This window comes from Homo sapiens, chromosome 17 (assembly GCF_000001405.40).
Source record: "Homo sapiens chromosome 17, GRCh38.p14 Primary Assembly".
NCBI lineage: Eukaryota > Metazoa > Chordata > Mammalia > Primates > Hominidae > Homo > Homo sapiens.
This window is the reverse complement of record NC_000017.11, coordinates 32,604,887-32,631,534: the sequence shown is the minus strand read 5'-3', so window position 1 is coordinate 32,631,534 and position 26,648 is coordinate 32,604,887. Positions and strand designations below refer to the sequence as shown.

The 26,648-nt window shown below is 41.2% G+C and overlaps 1 protein-coding gene across 5 annotated transcripts in view; it reads left to right on the top strand.

Moving 5' to 3' along the window:
* Positions 1 to 26,648, top strand: part of MYO1D (myosin ID) — a 384,603-nt gene that overhangs the window by 245,590 nt on the left and 112,365 nt on the right. For all 5 annotated transcript variants that reach the window (XR_001752521.3, NM_015194.3, NM_001411088.1 and 2 more), the window contains one exon: positions 26,294 to 26,448. Coding sequence is in view for 4 of the 5 variants with exons in the window: in NM_015194.3 (NP_056009.1) it covers positions 26,294 to 26,448 (155 nt within the window). In the remaining variant the exon portion in view is untranslated. The remainder of the gene's footprint in view (positions 1 to 26,293; positions 26,449 to 26,648) is intronic.

Below are 26,648 nucleotides of genomic sequence, written 5' to 3'. Positions count from 1 at the left end.
GCTAGGACTGCAGATGCACGCCACTACTCTTGGCTAAACTTTGAAAATTTTTTTTGTAGAGACAGGGTCTCACGTTGCCCAAGCTGGTCTGGAACTCCTGGCCTCAGCCAATCCTCCTGCCTCAGCCTCAAATCCCAAAGTGCTGGAATTACAGGCATGAGCCACACCACACCTAGCCAAAGACTGCCTTTTAAACCTGTTTTTTTAATAACAGAATTCTGTGTAGGTTCACATTTACATATGTAGAAGTAAAATTATTCCATCATATGGCACTTGGTAGTTACATCTCTGGTCTGTTTTAGTCCACACTGCACTTCCACTCACATATACCCCTACCCTGTTTTTTTCCCATCATATTGACTTTTTAAAATAGCTTTCTTGAGGTATAATTCACTGTTACAGACTGAATTGTGTTCCCCCAAAATTTATATATCAGAGTCCAAACCCCCAGTACCTCAGAAAGTGACTGTATTTGGAGATGGGGTCTTTAAAGTAGTAATTAAGTTAAAGTGGGATCTTAAGAGTGGGCCCTAATCCAGTATGACTGGTGTCCACATGAGAGGAGATTACAACATAGGTACAGAGGGAAGGCCATGTGAAGACAGAGAGAAGACAGCCATCTACAAGGCAAGGAGAGAAGCCGTCAGAAGAACAACTCTACCGGCAGGGCGTGGTGGCTCATGCCTGTAATCCCAGCACTTTGAGAGGCTGAGGCGGGTGGATCACGAGGTCAGGAGATTGAGACCATCCTGGCTAACAAGGTGAAACCCCATCTTTACTAAAAATACAAAAAAAATAGCCAGATGTGGCGGCAGGCACCTATAGTCCCAGCTAATCGGGAGGCTGAAGCAGGAGGATGATGTGAACCCAGGAGGCGGAGCTTGCGGTGAGCCGAGATCACACCACTGCACTCCAGCCTGGGCAACAGAGCGAGACTCCATTTCAAAAAAAAAAAGGAGGAACAACTCTACCAACATCTTAATTTTAAACTTCCAGCCTCCAGAACTTCAAGGAAATACATTTCTGCTGTTTAAGCCACCTAGTCTGTGATACTTTATCATGGCAGCCCTAGCAAACTAATATATTTACATACCATAAAATTTGCCCATTGTAAGTTATAGTTATTTTTAGTAATTTATGCAGTTGTGCAATCATCACATAATCCTGTGTTAGAATATTACTAGGCTGGACGTCTGTAATCCCAGCACTTTGGGAGGCCAAGATGGGAAGATTGCTTGAGCCCAGGAGTTTGAGACCAGCCTGGGTAAAATAGTGAGACACTGTCTCTACAAAAGAAAGAAACAGATCTGAATACTAGATGTGCTTGTTGCTACCGGGGATTCATTTCTTTTAGGTCCTCTCAGCTGGCACAGGACAGAAATATATGTGTATAATCTGTGTATATACACATCTTTATAAATATTTTTATATGTGACCATCTTTATATGAAGTTAAACATGAGTTTATACTAGTGTCTCTCACTCTAGTCCATGACCACATGAGTCATTCTAGCCTTCCCCCATCGCTTATCTTTAAATTCCCTGTCCAAAAGTGAGAAACCTGGCTTGCACCATCCACTGTCCATTTACCTAATTGTTCATTTCCAGTATCCATGCATAGCAGTATCAGAATTGTTAACCTGTACTCCTGTGAGGCACGACTTTATCAAATAGAGTACAGTGCTACATGCACTTCCTTTTCCCTTTAGTCTTACACACTCCACTCATTTCCAAAGTTACCTAGGTCAGCACCTTTTCTTTCCGCCCTCTTCAGTGAGATTGATACCTTTTTTTTTTTTTTTCTTGAGATGAAATCTCGCTTTGTCACCCAGGCTGGAGTGTAGTGGCGCAATTTTGGCTCAGTGCAACCTCCGCCTCCCGGATTCAAGCAATTCTCTGCCTCAGCCGAGTAGCTGGAATTACAGGCGCCCGCCACCACGCCTGGCTAATTTTTTTTGTATTTTTAGTAGAGACGAGGTTTCACCATCTTGGCCAGGCTGGTCTTAAACTCCTGACCTCATGACCCACCTGCCTTGGCCTCCCAAAGTGCTGGGATTACAGGCGTGAGTCACTGTGCCTGGCCCATACTTTTTAATATAAGTGGATTCTCTTGTCACATTTTGCATTCCTTCCTGAAACCCCCCAACCTCCTAATTTTTTTTAAGTTGCCCACAAAGGTTCACTCTTGATGCTGTTGAGTTCTGTAGGTTTTGGCAAATGTATAGTGTCATGTATCCACCATTACAGTATCACACAGAACAGTTTCACTGCTCTAAAGATCCTGTGTGCGTAACCTGTTCATTCCTTTCCCTCTTTCCCCTGAACCTACGGGAACCACTATCATTTTACTGTCTCTACAGTTGTGCCTTTTCTAGAATGTCATATAATTAGAATCATACAGAATGTAGCCTTTTCAGATTGTCTTCTTTCACTTAGCAGTAGGCCTTTAAGGTTCCGTCATGTCTTCCCATGGCTTGTTGGCACATTTTGTTTTTTTAGTCAAGAAATAGTTCATTATATGGAGGTGCCGTAATTTGTTTCTCCATTCACCTATTGATTGCTTCCACTTTTTGGCAACTATGAATAAAGCTACTAAAAACATTTGCAAGCAGGTTTTTTGTATGGACACAAGTTTTTAAATCTATTGAATAAATAGGAGTGCTATTGCTCAATCCTGTGATAAGACTAAATTTAGCTTTGTAAGAACTGCCAGTATTTTCCAAAGTGGCTGTATCATTTTCCATTTCCACCAGGAATTAATGAGTTTCTGTTACTTCCCATCCTCATCAGTATTTGATAGTGTCTTTTTTTTATTTTGGCCATTCTAATAGGTATGTAGTTGTATCATGTATTTTTCTATTATCCTAAAATATATAACTCAGTACACACTGGATTATCAATTAATCTTTATGAGAACCATCTCTTCACTCTTTGTCATTAGTTGGTTTGTTTTCAGGAGACAAAGCTTGATCTTCATGTAAGCCTAAGCAAACATAATTAAAAGCTGAATTTGGCACTTTTTCCCCCTCTTCCATTAGCGAGAATTATTCAATTTACCATTTAATGATGGTTCTAGTCACACAGGAAAGATAAAAACAGGAAATCGTGACAGGTTTTTGAGACTCTTTTCAGCAAACACTGTTCTCACAAATGGCATGGTCATATAATTGTAAACAACATGAAACATTAAGTTACGGGTGACCCCTTTCTATGTATAAATATTGCACACTAAGGTTAGGGTTTCAGCCAACTGGAATCTGCATTATTGTCAAATTGGCATCATCCCCTTTGAGTCACCAGGTATATTTGTATGTAATATTGAATTAAAGCATTAGTTGTAAAATTGTTAACAAAGGTTAAAATTTTTACAGGGACAGTAGGGTCAGAATTTGAATGTTTTGTGAGCTGGGGGACTTGTGGTTGCTGAGGCTTGATATGGAAAACAGAAGCAAGAAATAGCCTACATAATTAGCAATATTGTGTCCAAAACTTTGATCACAATCTCTTTGAAAATCATACTAGAGATCACTGTAAATTGGTGGGAAAGATTGCTCCCCGTGGCTGAAGCATGTTGCTTGAATAAATGCACTTCTGCCACTAGAGTTCATGTGGACATTAGTCCTCCCAAACCAGCATCCATGGAGCAGGTTGCCAAGATTGAGTTTAATTTGCGTAAACAAAAAATCTGTTTGCCAGTTTTGAGTGAGAGCACAGTAACCGAAACATATAACCTTACCTCAGCTAGAATTCTTCTTACCCTTCTTTTGTTGTTGAGTCATGATGTGTTTGGTCTGAAGAATGTTTGAATCTGCCCATGAATGTTGTTTTGATATAGTCCCTTTTTATCAGTATGGGCTTGATGACTAAGGAAGCAGCCAATTAATTGCACAAATACCTCCTTTCGTTCTGTGGAGAATACAAAGCAAGCAGGGGAGAGAAAAGAGACAATTATCTGAACCGATGTGACTGTTTTGTAAAGGTAAATGGACTGTAATTATGCCAGACTTCATGCTTTATTGCTCTATTTGACGTGACTTGCTAGAAAGATATCATTTCGTTTGGAAGATGGATTGTCCTTGTAATGCGTACAGGGTGAACCCTGCTGAAATCCATCCGCCCGCCGGTCTGTGCCCCATCACCATTTCTAAAGCACCCTACCCTCATGGCAGTGTCCCAAAGGAAGGGGTTTCCATGGTAACCTCAATGGATACAGTCAGCTGACGTCTGGCACCGCCTGTGCTGGTGTGCGCTAGCCTACTCACTCCCTCGGCCCTCCCTCAATCCTTTCAACTATATTTATTAGTTCTCTTTAATGGAAAGTATATAATCCCTTAATGTCAGACCTTGAGTGGCACTCAGCTTTATTAATTTATTTAGGTAATAAATTTACCTTCCTAATTAATTCTCAGTAGTCCTGGGAGCTGTATTATTTTAAACATCTTGCACAATGTTTATAGTTCTGCGTGTTATAACAAAGAGAGCCACTTAGCAAAATTAGATATTTGGAAACCTCTCTTCTTAGAAAAAAAGTAATGTCTATATTATAGAGAAATTTAGAAAAATACAGATGAAATTTTTTTCTTATTCTGATGGCTTTGGCAATGAAACATTCTTTCCCCGCCTCTTATAATTTCTTTTTAACACTCAATGACTTTATTATTGGATTTGAGTGAGCCACGTCGTTTTAAAATACTTCTAAGAAATGTGACGACTAAGCCACATTCTCTCTCTTTTTTTGTTAATAAGAGAGAAAGAAGTCAGAATTTCAGAGCTCCCCCGTTGATGGTTTTCCTGACATGTGTTCAGAAGCAAACGCCTTTTGTTACACTGGTTAGAGACAGCTGCTTATGCCAAACGCTACTAAGCAAACTGCTTTCTTTTTTTTAATGTGTTTTTCCTTACATGTGCAAAAATCTGACCAATAAGCAAACGATTTATAGTACCAAAAGTCACTGCTTTTGGGCACAAAGTAGAGTCCATTTTCATCAGTACTGTACTTGGAAATTCAATTTCATATGTAAAAGATGTCTCAAAGCAACGTCTGAAAGCACCAACCACTAGGGCCAATTTAACGTTGTTAAAGAAACACAATGCCTTTTAAGAACTAAAGTGTAAGCAAATTAGTACAGTACCACCTTAATTTATCCAGAGGTCAGATTGCTAGAGGCAAGATGGCTTTAAAACAAAGCCATACACGGAGATGTATATATTTTTTACATCTCTACATTTGCAGAAATAGATGTCACTAAGCTGCGGCAATAATAGGCTTCCTTTAGACAGCTGTCTTTATCAGAGCTCTCTTTTATTCAGTAAACATTTTGGAGCACCTCCCATGTGCTGTGCATTTGGCAGGCACTGGTGGTGCGAGCATACATCACGTAGCCTCTGCCTACAAGCCTTGTGGACCCGTGGGAGAGACAGGGAAGCCACCAGTCCATCGGCACAGTGCCTAGGTTGCTCACTGTGGCAGCCCCGTAGGTGCACAGCACAGTAATACCTTGCTCTGAAGAGAAAACTGGTGCTCAGAAAGGTGAAGCAATCTGCCCAGGTCACAAAGCTCACCAAGAATGGAGCTGGGCTTCATCATTTGTGTGTGTGACCTAGCCCCTAATCCCAAGTGTGTTTGACCTAGGCCAGTTCCAACAGCCACCTGCTACCTGCCCCTCCCTTTGACAGATAACACATGAAACTAAAATCCTGTTTGGGGCCCAGAGCAGTGGCTCACACCTGTAATCCCAACACTTTGGGAAGCTGAAGCAGGCAGATCACCTGCACTCAGGAGTTTGAGACCAGCCTGGGCAACATAGTGAAACCCCATCTCTACAAAAAATACAAAAATTAACCAGTAGTCCCAGCTGCTCAGGAGGCTGAGGAAGGACAATTGCTTGAGCCCAGGAGGCAGAGGTTGCAGTAAGCTAAGATCGCACCATTGCACTCCAGCCTGGGCAATAGAGCGAGACCCTATTTAAAAAAAAAAAATCCTGTTTTAAGAGGAAAGAAATAACAGAACTAACATTCATCGCATGTGTCATGCCAGGTGTTTCTTAAATGATTTAACCAGACTATATCTCAATCACTGTAAGAATCCCAGGCAGGAAGTCTCATTTTATAGATGAAATAAATTCTCAGAGAAGTTGACCACTAGCGCAATGTTTCAGTGCAGGTTCTTCTAATCTCAGAGCCAGAGGTAGCCACAAAATTAGGTATCTTTCTACCTAACTTAATTGCCAAAGTTGCTCTCTCTCTCTCTCTCATTTTCTTTATTTATCTATTTAAGTCTTTCTTACATTAATAATAGCTTTCTAAAATAGTTTGTCTTAACCTTTTGAGGATTAGTGACTTGTATGCCCGCAGGAAACTGAATAATCAAGATGAGAGTGTTTGTATTGGCCCTGGTCTGCATATCAGGAGCTCCGAAGGTATGGTCCATTAGGATACAAAAAAGGGCTGGGCACAGTGGCTCACGCCTGTAATCCCAACATTTTGGGAGGTCAAGGCAGGCAGATCACTTGAGTCCAGGAGTTCAAGACCAGCCTGGCCAACATGGTGAAACCCCATCTCTACTAAAAATACAAAAATTAGCTGGACATAGTGGCAGGTGCCTGTAATCCCAGCTACTCGGGAGGCTGAGGCAAGAGAATCGCTTGAACCCGGGAGGCGGAGGTTGCAGTGAGCCAAGATCGCGCCATTGCATACCAGCCTGGGCAACAAGAGCAAGACTCTGTCTCAAAGAAGAAAAAAAAAAAAAAGATACAAAAAAGGAAAACAAGAAAAAGAAAATATCTTCATTTCTTTTAGGGGGGAAAAAACAGCACCTTTAAAGAGAGCTGCCACGTTATACTTTTATTTGTACAGTTTGTTTCTCTCAATTGCAATCCTGCCTCCTCAAAGAAGAAAAGGTACTACTACAGTCTCAAGAAGGCCAGAAAAAATATAGTGGTTTTACTGTTAACCTGCTATTTAGAAGATCTGATTTTTATTTTATTTAGTTTTCACTTTTAAAGCCAAATAAAAAATGTTAGTATGTTAGTAGTCTTAACTCAGGGGTTCTCAACTTTAGCTGCACATTAGAATGGCCTGGAGAGTTCTTAAAATTACTGATACCCAGGTCATACTCCAGATGCATGAAATCAAATCTCTGCTGGTAGAGCTAGGCATCAGCAAGCATTAAAGCTCCCCAGGCCGGCCGGGCGCAATGGTTAACACCTATAATCCCAGCACTTTGGGAAGCCAAAGTGAGAGGACCGCTTGAGCCCAGGAGTTCAATACCAGCCTGGCCAACATAGCAAGACCCTGTCTCTACAAAAAAAAAAAAAAAACTTAAAGAAAAAATAAAATAAAGCTTCCTAGGTGACTGCACTATGCAGCCAGAGATGAGAACCACTTATCTATTCTGTTCCCCAAATTTTTTCACTTTTGTTGTTTTGGCTCCTTGGAAACATCTGTTAAAAGTTGGACTTGCTCCCAAATTCAGTTCTGCCATTAGAGTTTTTTATCACTTACGTATATGTGTGTGAGAGAGAGACAGAGAGACACAGAGTGCTAAGGTCTGAAGGTGTTCCCCCAAAATTCATATGTCAAAATCCTAACCCCCAAAGTGATGGAACTCGGAGATGGGACCTTTGGGAGGTTTCTACCCTCATAATGGGATTATCGACTTATACAAGAGGCCCCAGAGAGACCCTCGCCCTTTTGCCATGTGAGGACACTACGAGAAGTTGGCAGTCTGCAACCTGGACGAGGGCCACCAGCACCCTCATCTCGGACTTCTAGCTTCCAGAACCGTGAGGAGTAAATCTCTGTTGTTTATAAGCCACCAGTTTATGGTATTTTGTCATAGCCACCTAAATGGACTGAGACAGAGTTGGAGAGAGTGTGTGTTTTCTAGAAAGCCTCATGATCGCGTATCTGTATCAAAAATTAAATTTTCTTTAAGTCATTGACCATGGTTTAATGTTTGAGGACAGTCTCATCAAAAGATTTTCCTTAAACAAGAGTAGTATAAGATAAAGAAATCACCTTATATTTGATGATTTTCATTCCTTATAGTGGACCTCTGCATATATTGTCTCACTTAGCAACGACCCCCCATCCCCACCACTACCACACACATACCACTGGGAGGTGGCCTATACTGGTCCTGGACTGTAGCCATTAAATAAATGAGTTTGTTTCTTTGTTATTGGCTGAGGTCCAGAACAAACTTTCTTTACACAGAATTGTTACGATGAAGTTCTGCACTACAGGGGGAATCTGATTTTTTTAATATAATAAACATTAGAAGGATTTCATTTTATTGGAACCATATCTAAGCATAGACCTCTTTACAGTGTGCCATGGTTAGAGGTATATCTAGTGGGAACAAGTAAAGTTGACAGGCTCAGGGTCCTCTCTCCTGAGTTAGCTGAACTACTACTTTGGCTCCTGTTGAGCAGCCATTCTGCTTCTTGGGAGCCACCTCTGATGTCCGCCCTTACCATCCCCTCTGATAGCCTTTCACAAATCTTGTTGAGTTGTAAAAATATCTTATATTGCATTTAAAGATCATTACACCATAAATGGTAAAGGACAAAAGAAAAATCACACCCCAGTGGGGTCTGGCAACACAAGTGTTAGGATATTTGGAAGCAGATGGGTGGTTGTTGAATTCATGCCCCATTTTAACAGTAGCACCCATCTCAGTTGAATGTTGAGGCCCAAAATGAGGTATATGAAATAATGCGTGGAAAGTCCTCAGCATCGTTCTTATCACATAGTCAGGTGCTCTAGAATTAGAAACTGCTCTTTGCCCCCTTGCAAACTGGCAATCCCATGCCTGTAGAAATCAGAGTCGGATGAAGTCAGCTTTCAGTGCCCTCACTGTCTAATCTTTGATCTCGGTTTTCATTCCCCTGGAGTGTTCTCCCAGATAACTGAATGGCTTCCTTACTTCATTCAGGCCTCTGCCCAAATATAACTTTAAAAGGCTTGTTCAGAATGATACCCTCAGCTCCATCTTATCCCTCTGTATGCCTTTACACACTTTATTCTTCTTCACAGGCCACATCACCACCTGTCACATTATTAGAGTTCTTTTCAGTCTGGCTCCCCCACACCCCCATTAGAACATAGACTCCATGGGAGAAGGGTCGGGGACTCTCTTGTTCCCAGAACACTGCCTGCCATACAGTAGGTGTTCAATAAATGAGTGTTGATGGTTGAGCTGGAGAGGTCAAGACTGGTGACAGGAAAAGCAGTTAAGATGCTGCTTAAGAAATTACAAGGACCTGTACTCAAGCAAGGACCATAAAGAGGGGGAGATGGGTTCAAGACCTGTTTATGTGCGAGAACAACAGGCTTTGGTGCTGGTGACTCACCAAGATGGGAAATACAGGAAAAGAAGCAGGGATGTGGTAGCAGAGTGTGAGAAAGGTCAGTCTCAAATGGGCTTCATTTGAGGCAAGGCCCAATACACAGTCAAAGAGCAACCTAGGATGGAGACTGTCTTAGCATGGGGTGCTGTAACAAGAAACCACAGACCGAGTGGCTTAAACAACAGGAATCTATTTCCCAGTCTGGAGGCTGGAAGTCCAAGATCAGGGTGCCAGCATGTTTGAGCTCTGGTGAGGGCTTTCCTTTCAGTTCACAGAGGACTGGCTGCCTTCTCATTGTATCCTCACATGGGGAAGAGAGGAGGAAGCAGGTTCTGGCCTGTCTTTTCTTATAGAGACACTAATCCCAGCATGAGGGCTCCACCCTCATGACCTAATTACCTCCCATAGGCCCCACCTCCAAATACCATCACACTGGGGATTAGGGTTTCAACATATGGGAGGTCACAGACATTCTCAGTCCTTAGCAGAGACATGGATTTGGAAGCCGTGGACAAGAGCTTGGGGAGGGGCATGAGGAGAGAAAGGAGAAAGTACCTGCAAGGTAACCAGTAAGAATAAAGCTTTTAAGGCTGTAATTAAGGGTTGGCTTTGATAAGGAACACATGGGAACCATCAGTCTTCTAAGCTAGGAGAACCTTTTTAATCCATCCATAGCTTTTACTGTCTTCCACACATTCAATAAATTCTATCATCTACCACTTACCTGGCAGGTAAGGAGGGAAATAAGGACGAGAAGATGCAGCTTCTGCTTGTCGTTTAGTGGGAGAGGCAAATGCAAACAAAAATAATCACAGTGCAGCTTGTTAAATGCAAAAGCAAAGGTGAGCATGAAGTTCTATGAGAGGGTGCAGAATATGGCAGAAATGGCTTTTCAGGACAAGGAAACGTTTGAGGAGGCTCATACGTACAGGCTGAGCATCCCTAATCCAAAATCCAAAACTCTCCAAATTCCAAAACTTTTTGAGCACCAATATGACGCCACAAGTGGAAAATTCCACATCTGACCGCATGTGACAGGTTACAGTGAAAACGCAGGCACACAGCACAGCTTATTCAACGTCCCCAAGGGAAAAATAAAATTACCTTCAGGTTATGTATATAAGATTTATAGGAAACATAAATGAATGTCATTTTAGACTTGGGTTCCGTCCTGAAGATATCTCATTATATATGCAACTATTCCAAAATCTGAATAAAATGCAAACTCTAAAAGATTTCTGGTTCTAAGCACTTTGGATAAGGTATACTCAATGTGTATATGCAAATACTTGTGTATGTTTGCGATGGGCTCTCGTAGCTTTTTTCAAATTCTTAAAAGGAGTGTGTGCTCCAGCCTGTGATGTTTGCCTCCTGGCTCCTCCCCCTACATCAGAAACCACTGCAGGAGAAACTACATTTCTGATTTGTTTGGGGCATTATCTAGAATAAGAAGTTGGGCCTTCAAGTTCTAAACAAAATGGAAGAGATGCATTTCTCCCTACCTGTCTCACTGAATACAGCTAAAAACCCTAGACATTATATCATAAAACAAATTTAAGAAGATTCTGAATGCTGGAGAGAGGAAAGTGGACCAGCTAGGGACCTCAGGACTCTGGAGGAACTTGGCAGGGGGGGGTTCCCTGGCTTTTCTTTTTGCCTCCTTTCTATCCCAGACTGCCTGCTGGAGAAGCCCGCCATCCAGAAACACCAGCAGGCACAGAGAAGAGCCTGCTCTTTCTTGCCAAAAGTACAAGAAAGGGGTAACCTAGCAAAACAGAATCCTTTGACAATAAGCACCCTTCTCCAGAAAAGCACCAGGGGGAAAATATGCAGATACCTCCACCTCTCATCAGCAAAGGCCTAGTGAAAAGCCTAGCCCTCCACCCTCACCTGGCAGTAAAGAGGTACCCCTCTCCTGACCCTTCCCTGCTGGGCTGGTGTCAAGGAGGCTCAGTGGGGAGCCAGCCTAGGGGTAATGAGGTACCCAACCCCTCTCAGTATGTCAGTGGAAGCAGAGGGACATGCCTAGGTTTCCACCCACTCCTGGAGGCTATGAGGCGCCTGTCATACTCCCCACAAGAGCGGTGTCAATGGAAGCCATGTTGAGGGGCCTGGACTTCCACTCCCATCCGGCAGTAAAGTATTTGTCCTCACCTTCTGCTCCTGGCCCACTTTTAGTGGAAGCCTGCTAAAAGAGAAGATTTAAGTAAGATCCAGAGTCTCCTAACACAATATCCAGAATGACCAGGATACAATACAAAATCACTCATCATATCTAAAATAGTTGTTATTGCACACCGACTCAGAATAGGATAAGGAAAATAAGCCTAAAATGATGAGTGAATAATCTTTTTTTATTTTGCACTGAGAGGGTCAAAAAAATTCAATTAAAGACTAATAAGGAAAGCAGCTTAATTAAGTTGGTATTTTAAGAGAGAGGAAAAAATAAATTTAAAATAGATAATATAGAGCTTGATTCAATTAGTAAAACAATTAGCTTTGTAAAATAATAATTTGACTATCTAGGACCCAATTATTTAGTAGTTTTACCTAAATCAATGGTTACGTGTAATTTGAATCACTTGGGGAGCTTTTACAAACTGCAGATGCCCAGCACAAACCAGACCAAATGTATCACAGTCTTCCCTGTGATTCTCATACATAGCCATGGTTGAGAGCCATTGGCCCAAAAGAACCATAATCAGAAGGAAAATGGGAGGATGTTTATACCTCCCAAATAGATGAGACAGAGTCAAAATAGGTGGGACAGAGTTTGTGTGGTAAACTTTGTATGTTCTTTCCAAAGGAGCGCCTTCTTGGCCATTTGTCTTGCTTTATGTACCCTTGTGATGAATTTGATTATCTCATTCCCAAGCCCAAAACAATAAATCTGAAGCAGTAATTAAAAGGAAGTCAGCATCTTACACAGGCAGGCATATTGATGACTGCAATATATGAAAACTGAAAGTATAGGAAGACTCAGAGATTTAGTTCAGTTCCACTAGATGGCTTGGTATTAAAAACTTGTTGAAGTGATTTCTTGAGCTATGTCCTCAGAGCAGTCTATTTGGGATTAAAATTGAATTTTTCGTGAAACTACTGAACTCCAAGTTACAAGACGAGCCCAGGAACTCAAACTGCCAGATACTCAGGGAAGTATCTGGCTTGTCTTAGATTTTAACAAAAAGAAGACAAGATTCTTGCAACAAAAGGAAAAATTCACCAAGCATTTAAATTAATGGAGGAGTTGCGAGGCACAGTGACTCACGCCTGTAATCCCAGCACTTTGGGAGGCCGAAGCAGGTGAACCACTTGAAGTCTGGAGTTTGAGACCAGCCTGGCCAACATGGTGAAACCTTGTCTCTACTAAAAATACAAAAATTAGCCAGGCATGGTGGCAGTCGCCTGTAATCCCAGCTACTCGGGAGGCTGAGGCAGGAGAATCACTGAAACCCGGGAGTCGGAGGTTGCAGTGAGCTGAGATCATGCCATTGTACTCTGGCCTGGGCAACAGAGCAAGATTCCGTCTCAAAAAAAAAAAAAGAATTAATTAATTAATTAACAGAGGCAGCTATGGGAGGCCCAGCTTCCTGTGTGTCACTCTCTAGAGGAATTTGTATTTAATTTTGTTAAGTACCAAATCCACTGTGATGAGAACATTATGTGGGTTGTAAATGTTCTTCTTGATGGTGCCCTTGATCCCTGTCAGGATGTGGAATATTGGGAAGAAATTGAAGTTTGATATGGAGATGTTTTATTTATTCAGTGCAGTGAGGTGAATTGGTGTTGGAAACTTACTGAAGAGTTTTGCTGAGTGGCTTTCATCAAGCTGTTAAAATCAAGGGTTGAAAGCCCTTGTCAATCAATGATATAAACTTAGCCCTTTTAATCAGTTGATTACAATTATTTTCCTTGACCTGAATAATGTTGATCAATAGTACTAGGCTCACAACAAGCACTTGGGAATAAAGTCGATTATACTGGTTTCAAGACAGTTTTTCATTACTGCTCAAAGCTCATGTTTTGTAGAAATAGGTTTTGTTTTACCATTAAAACAGCATGTGGCTCACACATACTGGTATGATGTTTGGATCATGTGATCCAGGCGTGCAGTCACAGAGAGCCTAGTAGCCCTGAAGATGCATCTGTTTTAAAGCATACTTACTAATTAACATTCACCATAACAACTTTGAATCCCTAAGAAAGGAAAAGAATTTTATTCTGTTTCATGAAGTGGGAAAATATTTATAAATATGGTATTTTTACTGTTTATCTGATGTGTTAAAATAATAACAAAAAATTTTTGAAAGTGACTGTCTGTTTATAAAGGAATTAATTCTTAGTTATCCCAAACAATGTATTCTTTCTATGATGCATTTACAAAATTAAGGTTTCTCTCTGTTACTGTCATATGTTCTTGGGTCAGTGATTCAGAATAGGTGGGCCGCGAGCAGTGGCTCATGCCTGTAATCCCAGCACTTTGGGAGGCTGAAGCGGGTGGATCACCTGAGGCTAAGAGTTCGAGACCAGCCTGGCCAACATGGTGAAACCCCATATCTACTAAAAATATAAAAATTACCCGGGCATGGTGGCGGGTGCCTGTAATCTCAGCTGCTTAGGAGGCTGAGGCAGGAGGATTGCTGGAACCCAGGAGGCAGAGGTTGCAGTGAGCTGAGATCATGCCATTGCACTCCAGCCCAGGCCAACAACAGACAACAGCGAAACTCCGTCTCAAAAAAAAGAGCAAAGCAGGTGGCTTCTCTCTGCTCTGCAGTATCTGAGGCCTTAGCTGGGAAGACTTAAAGACTAGGGGTGATTTAAGGGCTGGGGCTGGAATCATTTGAAGGCATGTTCACTGAGGTGACTGACACCTCAGTGGGGAGGACTCGGAGACTGAAACTGCTGACCGGAGAGCCTTATGAGGCCTTTTGGAGATGCTTGGCTTCCTCACAACATGGTGGCCTCAAGGTAGTCAGCCTTCTTTATTTTTTTTATTAACTTTTTTTGAGACAGTCTACTCTATTGCCCAGGCTAGAGTACAGTGGCGTGATCTCAGCTCAATGCAACCTCCGCCTCCCAGGTTCAACAATTCTCGTGCCTCAGCCTCCAGAATAGCTGGAACTACAGGCATGCGCCACCATGCCCAGCTAATTTTTGTATTTTTAATAGAAATGGCCATGTTGGCCAGCCTGGTCTTGAACACCTGGCCTCAGGTGATCCACCCAATATGCTGGGATTACAGGCATGAGCCACCACGACTGGCTGGTAGTTGGACTTCTTATGAGCTGACTTAGTGCTCAAAACATGAGTGTCCCATTAAACGAGGCAGAAGCTGCATTGCCTTTTATGAGCAGGCCTCAGAAGTCACACAGCCCCAATTCTGTTGCATTTTATTCGTCAAAAGCCAGTCATATAGTAAGCCTAGATTGAAGGGGTGAGGATATAGACCTCTATCTTTCTATGGGAGGAGTGGCAAAAATTTTGCAAACTTGTTTTAAATCCTCCACTTTCTACCCGCTGATTAAAAATTATTTTTGTTACTCTTACTTAAAATGCACTTACCAGCCAACCACTGTGGTTACACCTGTAATCCCAACACTTTAAGGACGCCAAGGCAGGAGGACCACTTGAGGCCTGGAATTCAAGACCAGTCTGGGCAACACAGCAAGACCTCATTTCTACCAAAAAAAAAAAAAAAAAGTTTTTAATTAGTCAGATGTGGTGGTACATGCCTGTAGTCCCAGCTACTTGGGAGGCTGAGGCAGAGGACTGCTTGAGCCCAGGAGCTCAAGGTTTGAGCCATCATTGCACCACTGCACTCCAGCCTGGGCAACAGAGTGAGACCCTGACTCAAAAAAATGAAGTAAAATAAACTAGAATGTGCTTACCCACTCCCAAGATGTCCCAAAAGTCTCATCTCCTTATAATACCAGGTTTAAGGTCAAGGGCCAGGATCTCATCTAATTCAATCCAGGCACAGTTCCTTAAGTAGAGTTCCTGCAATCTGAAGACCAACTAAAAGGAAAAGTTACCTGCCCCGCATACCCAACATGCAGTGATGATCTAGGGGTGGGATACCTACCACAGACATTTCTGTTCAAAGAGGAGGGGAATGAGGGGCACAAAACACTCACTGACCATCTGTGTTTGCAACTAAGTAGCTTTCTTAGCTGCTTCCTGTCCACAGGTCCAGAGCCTCTTTGCATTTTGCCATGTCTATGTTGCTTTCAGTCCAGTCCTTTGAAATTTTGATGGTTTCACTGTGTATCAATTTATAATCACTCCATTAGACAAAAAACACGCCCACAAATCTCTGCAAAATAAACTCTCCCATACCTTGGGCTCCTCGTGAGCTATTGTGGGACAAGACCCTTAAGATTCAGGAGCCCTGTTGTTTATCGGATAGAATTTGTAAGGCATGCCCTAAAGATCTTTAGAGCCTCGTTTAGTCTGTCTGGAAGATACTATGGATGCCTTCGATCTTTCTAAGGTTTTAACAAAGGATTTTACAATCCCACTCTGGGTTTGATCCGTTGCCCTGAAACCATTTCTTAATTTGAGAATCATTTGCCATCTGGAGAAGCTGGGAATAAGAAACAGTTTTATTTTCAAGCCTAGCAATTGCAGGCTTCTTTATGTTTCCTCTAAATTTTACATGAGAGCAGAACCATTCTTTATTAAGGTCCTCTCTCTCCTCTCACATTTTTTTCATAGACAGCAAGAAGAAGCCAGATGGCACTTTCAGTATTCTGTCTAGAAATCTCCTTATCTAGATCATCACATTTGTTACGTACATTTTCTATTTTCTGCCTTCCCATAGGCAACAGTGTTGTCAAATTTTCTCCTTAACAAAGGTCCGCTTTCCTCTGGCTCGAAGTAGTCTTTTCCCTGTTTTCCTCAGGCCCTCACTGACCTCCTCTTGAAGGCCTGCCATGATTCCCCCAACAGTCTCTCAGAACCTTTCCAGCTTCCACCTACTTCCCAAAGCCAGTGCCAACTATCTGGGATTATGTTATAGGAGCACCCTACTCCTGTTCCAAATTTTTATTCCAATTACTATTGCTGTGTAACAATCCACCCCAGACTTAGTGGAATGAAACGACCGCTACTTTATTATGTTCTTGGATTCTGTTGGTAAAGAATTTGAAAGAGGCACTGTGAGGCCAGCATGCCTCTGCTCCACAATGTCTAGGGCCTCCATTAGGAAGATTCGAAGGTGGGGGTTACTTGGTGAGTGAGAGTTGGAATCACTGGAGCCCTCATACACTCACTTGTCTGGCCCCGGCTGGCAGAGCTCAAGCCAGGACTGCTGACCAGAGCACCTGCACACGACCCCTCTGAGAGGTTTGGCTGCCTCACGGCATGGCACCTCAAGACCATCAGCCTGCTTGCATGAGGGCTCTGGGCTCAAGCAAGTTGTTGCTTTCAAGAGATGCTTGCTTATAAAGGGATAAACTCTCAGTTATGCCACAGCTTCCACCATTTCCATGATGAGCCCACACAGCTGAGCTTCCTGAGTTATAGCTAGTTGAGGAGTAAGGAGGGAACAAGATGTGGGGGACTGGGAAGGGAGAAGGAGGGAGATTAGGAGAGACAGATGAACAGAACAGAGAAAGGTGAAAAGAAAGTCACCAGGTGTCCTGCAAAAAGCCAGAGCAAACTGTCTCCCAAGTTTCTGAATGGAAAACAGAATGAACAGAATGTTCTCCATCAAAGAGCAGCCAAATCAATTTGTTAATTGAGATCAAAAGAACATAAGCATTATCTCTGCAGTCTAATCAAAGAACAGAAGTTGAATAGTACATCCAAAAACCCAAGTGTCTGTGTCAAAATACGAGCAAACACCTGCAGAAATTAAGTGACCGCTACAATTTCATGAAAGTTCTTTGTGTGTCAGGCATAGCTTTGGACGGGGTGTGGGGGGCGGGGGCATGGAAGGGCAGGGAGGTGGGGGGAATACCAAGAATGAAGTCCCTTAGAGGTGTATGTAGAGAGCAGTAACCAAAGAAGAGGAGAGATTCTCCAGGACAGAAGATTGTGGAACAGCTGCTACTGGGAGGAAGTTTGGAACAAAGATGCTCCAGAGTTAAAAAAAAAAAAAAAAAAAAAATTAAAACATTATTATAGTGATGAAATAGCAATAAATACATTTGAGTATTTACCATCTTACTGTAAAATGAAGTATTGTTTTATATACCATGGTATACTGTAAAATAAAAACAATACAAATGCAAAACTTCATACTTGGCTGAAAAAAGTGAAAGCCAGCGAGCCTGACCCCAAGGAGATCATTCTGGTTGGACAAGCACACGGATAATACATAAATGTGAACTATTAATAAATAAACTGAGTTATATTGAGGTATTTCTTTTTTTTTTTTTTTTTTTTTTTTTGAGATGGAATCTTGCTCTGTCGCCCAGGCTGGAGTGCTGGAGTGCTGGAGTGCAGTGGCACTATTTCGGCTCACTGCAATCTCTGCCTTCCTGGTTCATGCGATTCTCCTGCCTCAGCCCCCCGAGTAGCTGGGATTACAGGCACGCACCACCACGCACAGCTAATTTTTGTATTTTTAGTAGAGACAGAGTTTCACCATGTTGGCTAGGATGATCTTGATCTCCTGACCTCGTGATCTGCCCACCTCGGCCTCCAAAAGTGCTGGGATTACAGGCGTGAGCCACTGCACCTGGCCTATATTGAGGTATTTCTTACTAGTGAACCACCCTTACCCTTGTGAATATACGCTCATGGTCATGGTGTTTATCTTGTTGCATCCAGTTTGTTAATTATTTTGGATTTTGCATCTGTATTTGTACGTTACATTGATTTCTGGGTGTGTTTGTTTTTGTGTATGAGAGAGAGATTCAGCAGGTTTTGCTAGCAGGATAAATAAAATGAGTCAGTATGATTTTTCTCTTTTTCCATATTGTAGAGCATTTAAGTATGATAGAAATTACCTGGGCCTATAACATAACCTGTGCCTAGTAAGAACTAGAAGAGTATTTTTCTGATAATCTAAAAAAAAACTTTTTGCTAGTTATAAATAGAAATTAATTGTTTTATCTTTCTTTAAGTCAATTTTACTAATTTATATTTTCCTATAAAATCATGCATTTCAGGCCTGGTGCAGTGGCTTACACCTGTAATCCCAGCACTTTGGGAGGCCAAGGTGGGAGGATCACTTGAGCTTAGGAATTCATGACAGCCTGGGCAACATGACAAAACCCTGTCTCTACTGAAAATACAAAAACTAGCCGGGTGTGGTGACGTGCTCCTGTGGTCCCAGCTGCATGGGAGGCTGGGGTGGGAAGATTGCTTGAGCCTGGGAGGTAGAGGCTGCAGTGAGCCGAGATCGTGCCACTGCACTCCAGCCTGGGCAAGACAGCTAGACCACATCTTTAAAAAAAAATATGCATTTCATTAATATGAAATTACAATTACAAAAGTTTTTCTCTTCTAATTTCTTCTTCTTCTTTTTTTTTTTTTTTTGTTTTTTTTTTTTTGAGATGGGTCTCACTCTGTCACCCAGGCTGGAGTGCAGTGGCGTGATCAGCTCACTGTAACCTCAAACTCCTAGGCTCAAGCAATCCTCCTGCCTCAGCCTCCTGAGTAGCTGGGACTACAGGCACGCACCACCACATCCAGCTCCAGCTAATTTTTTTTTTAGCTGGGGTTTTTGCTATGTTGCCCAGGCTGGTCATGAACTCCCGGCCTCAAGTGATCCTCCTGTCTCAGTCTCCCAAAGTGCTGGGATTAGAGGCTTGAGCAACTGCTCTTGGCCTCTTATAATTTTGAAAGTCAACACACCCTTTCTTAAATCCCTTTCTCATTCCTAATGTTAAATATTTGCGGTTTTGCCTGTTTTTTCCTTGGTGAGACTCTGCCAAGGGTTTGGTCTGTTCAAAGAACCAGCTCTTTAATTTATTATGTATGTTGTTCTCATTCATAAACTTCTACTTTTATCTTAATTAATTTTATAAACAGGGTATATTTTTGTTTTTTGCTTAAATCTATAACCCCTCGTCCTCCAATAAAGGAGTTGTATCCTGTTCACATTTCTTACAGCAACTGGCAAAAAAACTTTTCTTAAATTCAATCGTGTTATTTAAATGCTTTCTATTTTTTATGCTCCCACGCTATTTCATTCTTTTTTCTGTTGCTGCATTGGTCAAGTTTTATTTATTCTCTTTTTACTACTGGTTAGAACCTTACACATCCTTTTTCATCTTAATGATTACTGTTAAATATTTGAGCTGATCTTTCCTAATTGATATCAAGAATAAAATGGATTTACTTATCTCCTCCTGTGAATTGTGACAAAATTAATAGAGTTTTCTTTTTGTTTTTGAGACGGAGTCTCGCTTCAGTGCCCAGGCTGGAGGGCAGTGGCATGATCTCGGCTCACTGCAACCTCTGCCTCCCAGATACAAGTGATTCTCCTGCCCCAGCCTCCTGATTAGCTGGGACTATAGGCACCCTCCACCACAACCAGCTAATTTTTGTATTTTTAGTAGAGACGGGGTTTCACCGTGTTGGCCAGGCCAGTCTCAAACTCCTGACCTCAAGTGATCCTCCCGTCTTGGCCTCCCAAAGTGTCGAGGTTACTGGTGTAAGCCACCACACTTGGCCAAGTTTTCTGTTTTAAAAAAGGATATAAACCTGAATTTTATTTTCCTGTGTAGATAACTTATTTTTGTATGCCTAGGTACTTGAAGATTTTTTCCTTTATTCTACAGGTCTAAAACTTCTCTGGGCTACACATCCAGAAGATCCTCTAAGTTTGGCTGGTACCTGTGATTCCTTTCTGTCTAAAGACTGGGATGTTTTCTTCTATTATTCTTTAATTTTCTAAAGTATCTATTCAGTTACTGCTTCCATTGTGTATGTAATTTATCATATTTGTCTTTTCGAATTATTTCTCTTTCTAATATCGGTCTGTTTTGCGCTGATTTCGTAAATGAGAATATGGATTAGAGATTTTCTTGTATAGTGAGCTCTGCTCTCTAGCGCTCATTCCATTGCAGAGGAGGAGAGGACATCTGCTCTGATTTCTCAGGCCGGCCTCCTCTTCCAGAACTGCTCAGCTCTTTACCTATCTAGTTGTGTTCACTGTTTGGTCCTTCTTAGTAAGGAGAGGCTGGGAGAATTGAAATGGGTTGCAATCAGAGACTCTTTTTGCCCTGTTCAAATCTTCAAGGCCAAAGAAGGGGAAGGCTTAGATTTATCATAGCATAGAAATCTCATAGATTAGGAGAAATAAGGAAGCAACAGGGGCAGGGGGAGCCTTGATAAGGAGTTTCCCTTTTGTTCGGAGAAACGCATCTATGTGTTATGGCTGCCCAAATGCAATGAGGTAGTGACCCCTTCCCCAGCTGAGGTGTTTCACAAAATACCTTCCATTTGCATGGTGTTGTAAGGTTTTAAAATTATATTTTCAGTGATAAAGTTTTGCTGACTTATTTTCACTTAGAGTGTAAGACCCTCGAAGACAGAGGGTTTTTTTGCTTATTTACTTTTTGTACTCCAGAGTTGCTACTATTTGATCCTTACCACAACCCTGCAAGGTAGACAAGGCACCTGATGTTATCCTTATTTTGCAGAAAAGGAGACAGATGCCCCAATAAATTAAATGAGTCACTCAAGATCACATGGCTGAATTGGGATTAACACCCAGGTCATCCTTAGTACACTAATCCCCACTTACCATCCTTTCTTCCAGAACTAAAGGGGACGTTCTGGGTGCTGTTTGTCCTGCTTTGGCAACAATAGGGACTTAATCTTTCATTATTTGTGTAGCAGAGCAACTTAAGTACTGTTTTCCCTCATTTCTTCTGAGACTGACACACCACTAGGCCTGGGCGTACACATGAAGAATTCCCATCCACAGCAGATAAAGCCACCTAGACAGCAAGGGAGAGAGAAGGGGAGGGAGAGAAGCCCACCCGCTGAGAGGGGGTTGTGGCCGAGAGCAGAGTCATTGGCTCCTGTCCTCTGGTCCAGGTAGCACCTAGGAAGGGATCCTCTATCCCTGTGGTTTCAGCGTTCTTTGCCGAATCTGTCTCTTTTCCCTGAACCCCTGCAGCTAATGCTCCTGGGATATGCTGGCAGAGTTACTGCTGTTACCATTCTCATTTCTTTAGGCTTTAATCAAGCTCTCCTGTGAAGTGCTACATCAATTCAATTTTGAATTTCACATATAAAATAATGAAATGAGAGTGAAGCGTGATAGACATAAAATGTTTTTTTAAAATGAAAATGATATTTTTAATTTAATCATATAAAAATCATCTGGATCCAGTACATGTAAGTGGCAGAGAGTTTGCTATATTCTCTTACCAATGGCCTCAGAAAGCCCACGATCCACATTGGTTGGTGAATGATTTCCAATTTCTTTAATATTTTCCCTTCTCTCCATTAAGCCCTGACCCTGGCATTCTTTAAAATCAACCCAAGAACTCACCTCCTATGAAAATGTATTCATGGGAATACTTATTTATAGAATATATAAATATTCTATGTTCATTTATACATGATACTTGAAAAACCTGGTGTGATGGAAAGAACATGAGTCCCCATCAGTCTGCAGGTCTGAGTTCTAGTTCCCGGGCCTGCAGACGGGCTGAACTCCTTCAGTCTCAATTTCTATCTGTAAAACATAGGCATGGAACTAAGTGACACTGCAAATCTGTAAATTGTTAAGGTGTTTTTCTTCAGTTATTTAATACTTACCTCTTCCTCTGATCCAACTGGATTGTGAATCCCCCAAGAACAGGGATCACATTCTCAGCATCTTCTGCACGTCTGTCCCTACCACAGGCCGTGTGGCACTGCGCCATCCCCCAGTGGTTGCCTTGTTCATGCTGCCTGCCCGCCTGGCTGATAGCACCTGTGGTAGCCAGGAGGTGGCACTTCGGTATTTTATGCAATAGAAGAACAGACCACAGAATGAGGAAATCACTCTGACTTCTGCTTTATTGACCAAAGTAGAATATCTAGAGATCAAAACAGCCAGGGTGTGCAATTTTTTAAATTTATAGGCAATGAATATAATTTACGTGCATGGGTGGTGGTGTACAGGTCTCTTGAGTCTTAGTATGGGCGTAAATTTGTGTAACCACTGCCACAGTCAGGATACAGAGTAGTTCCATACCCCAAAAACTCCCTTGTATCGGACTCCTCATAACCCCAAACCCTGGCAGCTACTGATCTGTTGTCCATCCTTATCCTTTTATCTTCTAGAGAATATCATATAAATGGCGTCACACAGGCTGTAACCTTTTGAGACTGGCTGCTTTCATTCAACCATAATGCCTGTGAGATTTATCTATGTTGTTGCATGTCAGTAATCTGTATCATTAGTTTGTTCATTGCTGAGTAGCGTTCCATTATTTAAATGTACCACAGTTTGTTTATCCGTGCACATGCTGCTGGATATTTGGGTCGTTTCCAGCTTTTGTCAATTATTAGTAGAGCTGCTGTAAACATTCATGTATAAATTTTCATGTGAAGCTAAGTTTTTATTTCTCTAGGATATGTGCCTAGGAGTGAGATTGCTGGCTCATGTGGTAATTTTCCATTTAATTTTTTGAGTTAACAACCACTGTTTCCACAGTGGCTGTAACATTTTACATTTTGTATTTTCACCAATGATGCATGTGAGTCCCACTTGTTCTGTGTCCTCACCAGCATTTAGTATTATCACTCTTTTGTTGTTGTAGGCTGTTTTGTTATTTTAGCCATTCTGATGGGTTTGCAGTGGTTCCCATTGCAGTTTTAGTTTGCATTTCCCTAATGGCTGCTGATGTTGAGCACCCTTTCATGTGCTTATTCACCCCTATGCCTTCTTTGGTGAAGTGATTTCAAATCTTTTATCCATCATTTTTAATTGAGTTGTTTACTATCAAGTTTTAAGAGCTCTTTATAGATTCTAAATACAAGTCCTTTATCAGATACATTTTTGCAAATATTTTCTACCAGTCTGTGGCTAGTCTTTTCACTCTCCCACCAGTGTCTTCCTTAGAGCAAAAGTTTTAAATTTGATCAAGTTCAATTTATCAATTTTTTTGCTTTATGGATTGTGCTTTTGGTATCATTTCTAAGAAATATTTGCCAGCCCAAGGTCACAAAGATTTTCTTCTATGTTTTCTCCTAAAAGTTTTCTAGTTTTACATTTTGCATTTCGATCTTATAGTGCACTCTGAATTGTTTACGAGATGTGAGATTTAGGTAGACTTTTATTTCCGTTTGCATGGGGGTGTCCAAATGTTCCAAGTTATCCAGATGCCCACATTATCCTTTCTTCATTGAGCTGTCTTTGCACCCTGGTGAAAAAATTATTGGCCATATTCACGTGAGTCTGTTTCTGATCTATGTTTTTTTTTTCCTTTCTAAATTATTGTCTTGATTAACCTAGCTTTATACTAAGCATTAAAATCAGCCTCTATGAGCCCTCCAACTTTATTCTTCATTTACAAAACTGTTATGGCTATTCTAGTTCTTTTGCTTTTCCATACATATTTCAGAATCTGCTTGTTGATACCTACAAAAAATCTTGCTGGGATTTTGGTTGGGATTTCATTAAATCTATAGATTAATATGGGAAAAATTGGTATCTTAAGAATTTGGGTTTTCTAGTCCATGAGGATATTATTTTCCTTCATTTATTTAGGTTTTCTTTTATTCCTTTCATCAGCCTTTTAATTTAACTTGTTCAACATTTTGTAGTTTTCAACATGTAGGTCCTACAGATAGATGTTTTGTTAGATTTATATCTAAGTATTTTTGTTTTTGGAGTTGTTATAGATGGTTTTGTTTTTCAATTTTTGTTTCAAATTTTTCATTGCTAATATAGAAATATTTTTGTATGTCAGCCTTGTATCCTTTGACCTTACTAGATGCGCTTATTAGTTCTGGGAGCTATTTTGTGGATCCTTGGCATTTTCTATGTAGGCAATCATGTAATCTGAAAACAGAGACATGTGTTTCTTCCTTTTCAATCTGTATGCTTTTTAATTTTTTTTTTCTTTGAGATGGAGTCTCGCTCTGTTGCCCAGGCTGAAGTGCAGTGACGCGATCTCAACTCACTGCAACCTCCGCCTCCCGGGTTCACACGATTCTCCTGCCTCAGCCTCCTGAGTAGCTGGGATTACAGGCGCCTGCCACCACACCTGGCTAATTTTTGTATTTTTAGTAGATACAGGGTTTCACCATATTGGTCAGGCTGGTCTCGAACCCCTGACCTCAAGTGATCCACCCACCTCAGCCTCCCAAAGTGCTGGGATTACAGGCGTGAGCCACCACACCCAGCCGCTTTTTAATTTATTTAACCTGCCTTACTGCACTGGCTAGGGCTTCCAGTATAATGTTGCATAGCTGCAGTGACAGTGGAAATCCTTGCATTGCTCCCGATCTTAAGGGAAAACATTCAGTCCTTCTTCACCAAGTATGATGTTAGCTGTGGCATGTTGTATATGTCATTTTATCAGGTTAAGTTCCCTTATAATCCTGGTTTGCTGAGAAATTTTTATCATGGATAGATGTTGAATTTTGTCAAGTACTTTTTCTGTGTCACTTGATACAATCTGTGGATTTTCTTTGTTATCCTGTCATTTTATTCTGTCATTACCTTGATTAATTTTTGAATACCTAACTAGCCTTGCATTTCTTAGATAAACTCCACTTGGTCATGTTGTATTATCATTTTTATGTATTGTTGGATTTAATTTGCTAATATTTTCTTGACATCCATTTTTACATCCGTGTTGATGAAGGATATCAGTTTGTAGTTTTCTTGTACTGTTGTGTTTATTTTTGATATCAGAATAATGCCAGCTTCAAAGTGAGTTAGGAAGTGTTCCCTTCTCTCCTATTTTCTAGAAGAAATATGGTGAATTGGTGTTATTTCTTCTTTAAATGTTTGGTGGAATTCACTATTGAAATCATCTGGGACTAGAATTTTCTTTTTCAAAATGTTTTTAAATATAAATCTAATTTCTTCAACAGATACAGAATTATTCAAGTTATTTCTTCTTGGAGAGTTTTAGTATTTTGTGACTCTTAAATAATTATTTGTTGTTGTTGTTGAGATGGAGTCTCACTCTGTCACCAGGCTGGAGTGGAGTACAGTGGCATGATCTCAGCTCACGGCAACCTCTGCCTCCTGGGTTCAAACAGTTCTCCTGCCTCAGCCCCCCAAGTAGCTGGGACTACAGGCGCACGCCTCCATGCCCGGCTAATGTTTTTTTGTGTGTTTTTTTTTTTGTATTTCAGTAGAGATGGGGTTTCACCATGTTGCCAAGGCTGGTCTCGAACTCCTGAGCTCAGGCAATCCGCCCGCCTTGGCCTCCCAAAGTGCTAGGATTACAGGTGTGAGCCACTGCACCCTGCCAGAATTATTTGGTTTTAACTAAGTTGTTGAATAAGTTTTTGTATAGAATTGGTCCAAATATTTTAATATTATCCTTTTAATGTCTGTGTGGTCTATAGAGATGGCCCCTCTTCCATTCCTGATATTGGCAATAAGTTCTTCCTTCTTTTTTTGTTTTGGGCTAGAGGTTTATCAATTTTATTGATCTTCTGAAAGAACCATCCCTGTTTCATTAATTTTTCTGTATTGTTTTTCTATTTCAAATTTTGTTCATTTCTGCTCTTTATTATTTCCTTCCATCTGCTTGTTCCGTGAAACTGATAGAAGATTAAAGTCAGGGGGTCACTGAGCAAAACCCTTAGAAAATGTATGACGTGTTTTGTTGTTTTTAGGGATGGTGTCTCGTTATGTTGTCCAGGCTGGATTCAAACTCCAGGGCTCAAATGATCATCCTGTATCAGCCTCCCAAGTAGCTGGGACTACAGGCACATGCCACCATGCCCAGCTCCAAAATGTATTTTTTAATTCATTCTTTTGAGAATGATCCAAATAGTTTTCCATGCATTTTCTCTTTGCAGTTGACTGGTCTGAGTGTCTCCAATGGAAAGGACCAACTTGTAGTGTTCCATACGAAAGACAACAAAGACCTCATTGTCTGCCTCTTCAGCAAACAGCCAACCCATGAGAGTCGAATTGGAGAACTTGTTGGAGTGCTGGTGAATCATTTCAAGAGGTAAAGTTTGATTTTTGTAACTAAGACACGTTTTAAATCTATGAAATCTTTAATCGTAATTATCACTGAGCTTGTTTTGTGCCAATTTTAATGTATTGAGCTATTTTTCTCCATAAGGACAACTTAAATCATCTGTTTCGCAGAAGGTAAAATTAGCATCCCAGCTTACTTTCAAGGTTAGGAATGATCCTCTACTTTTC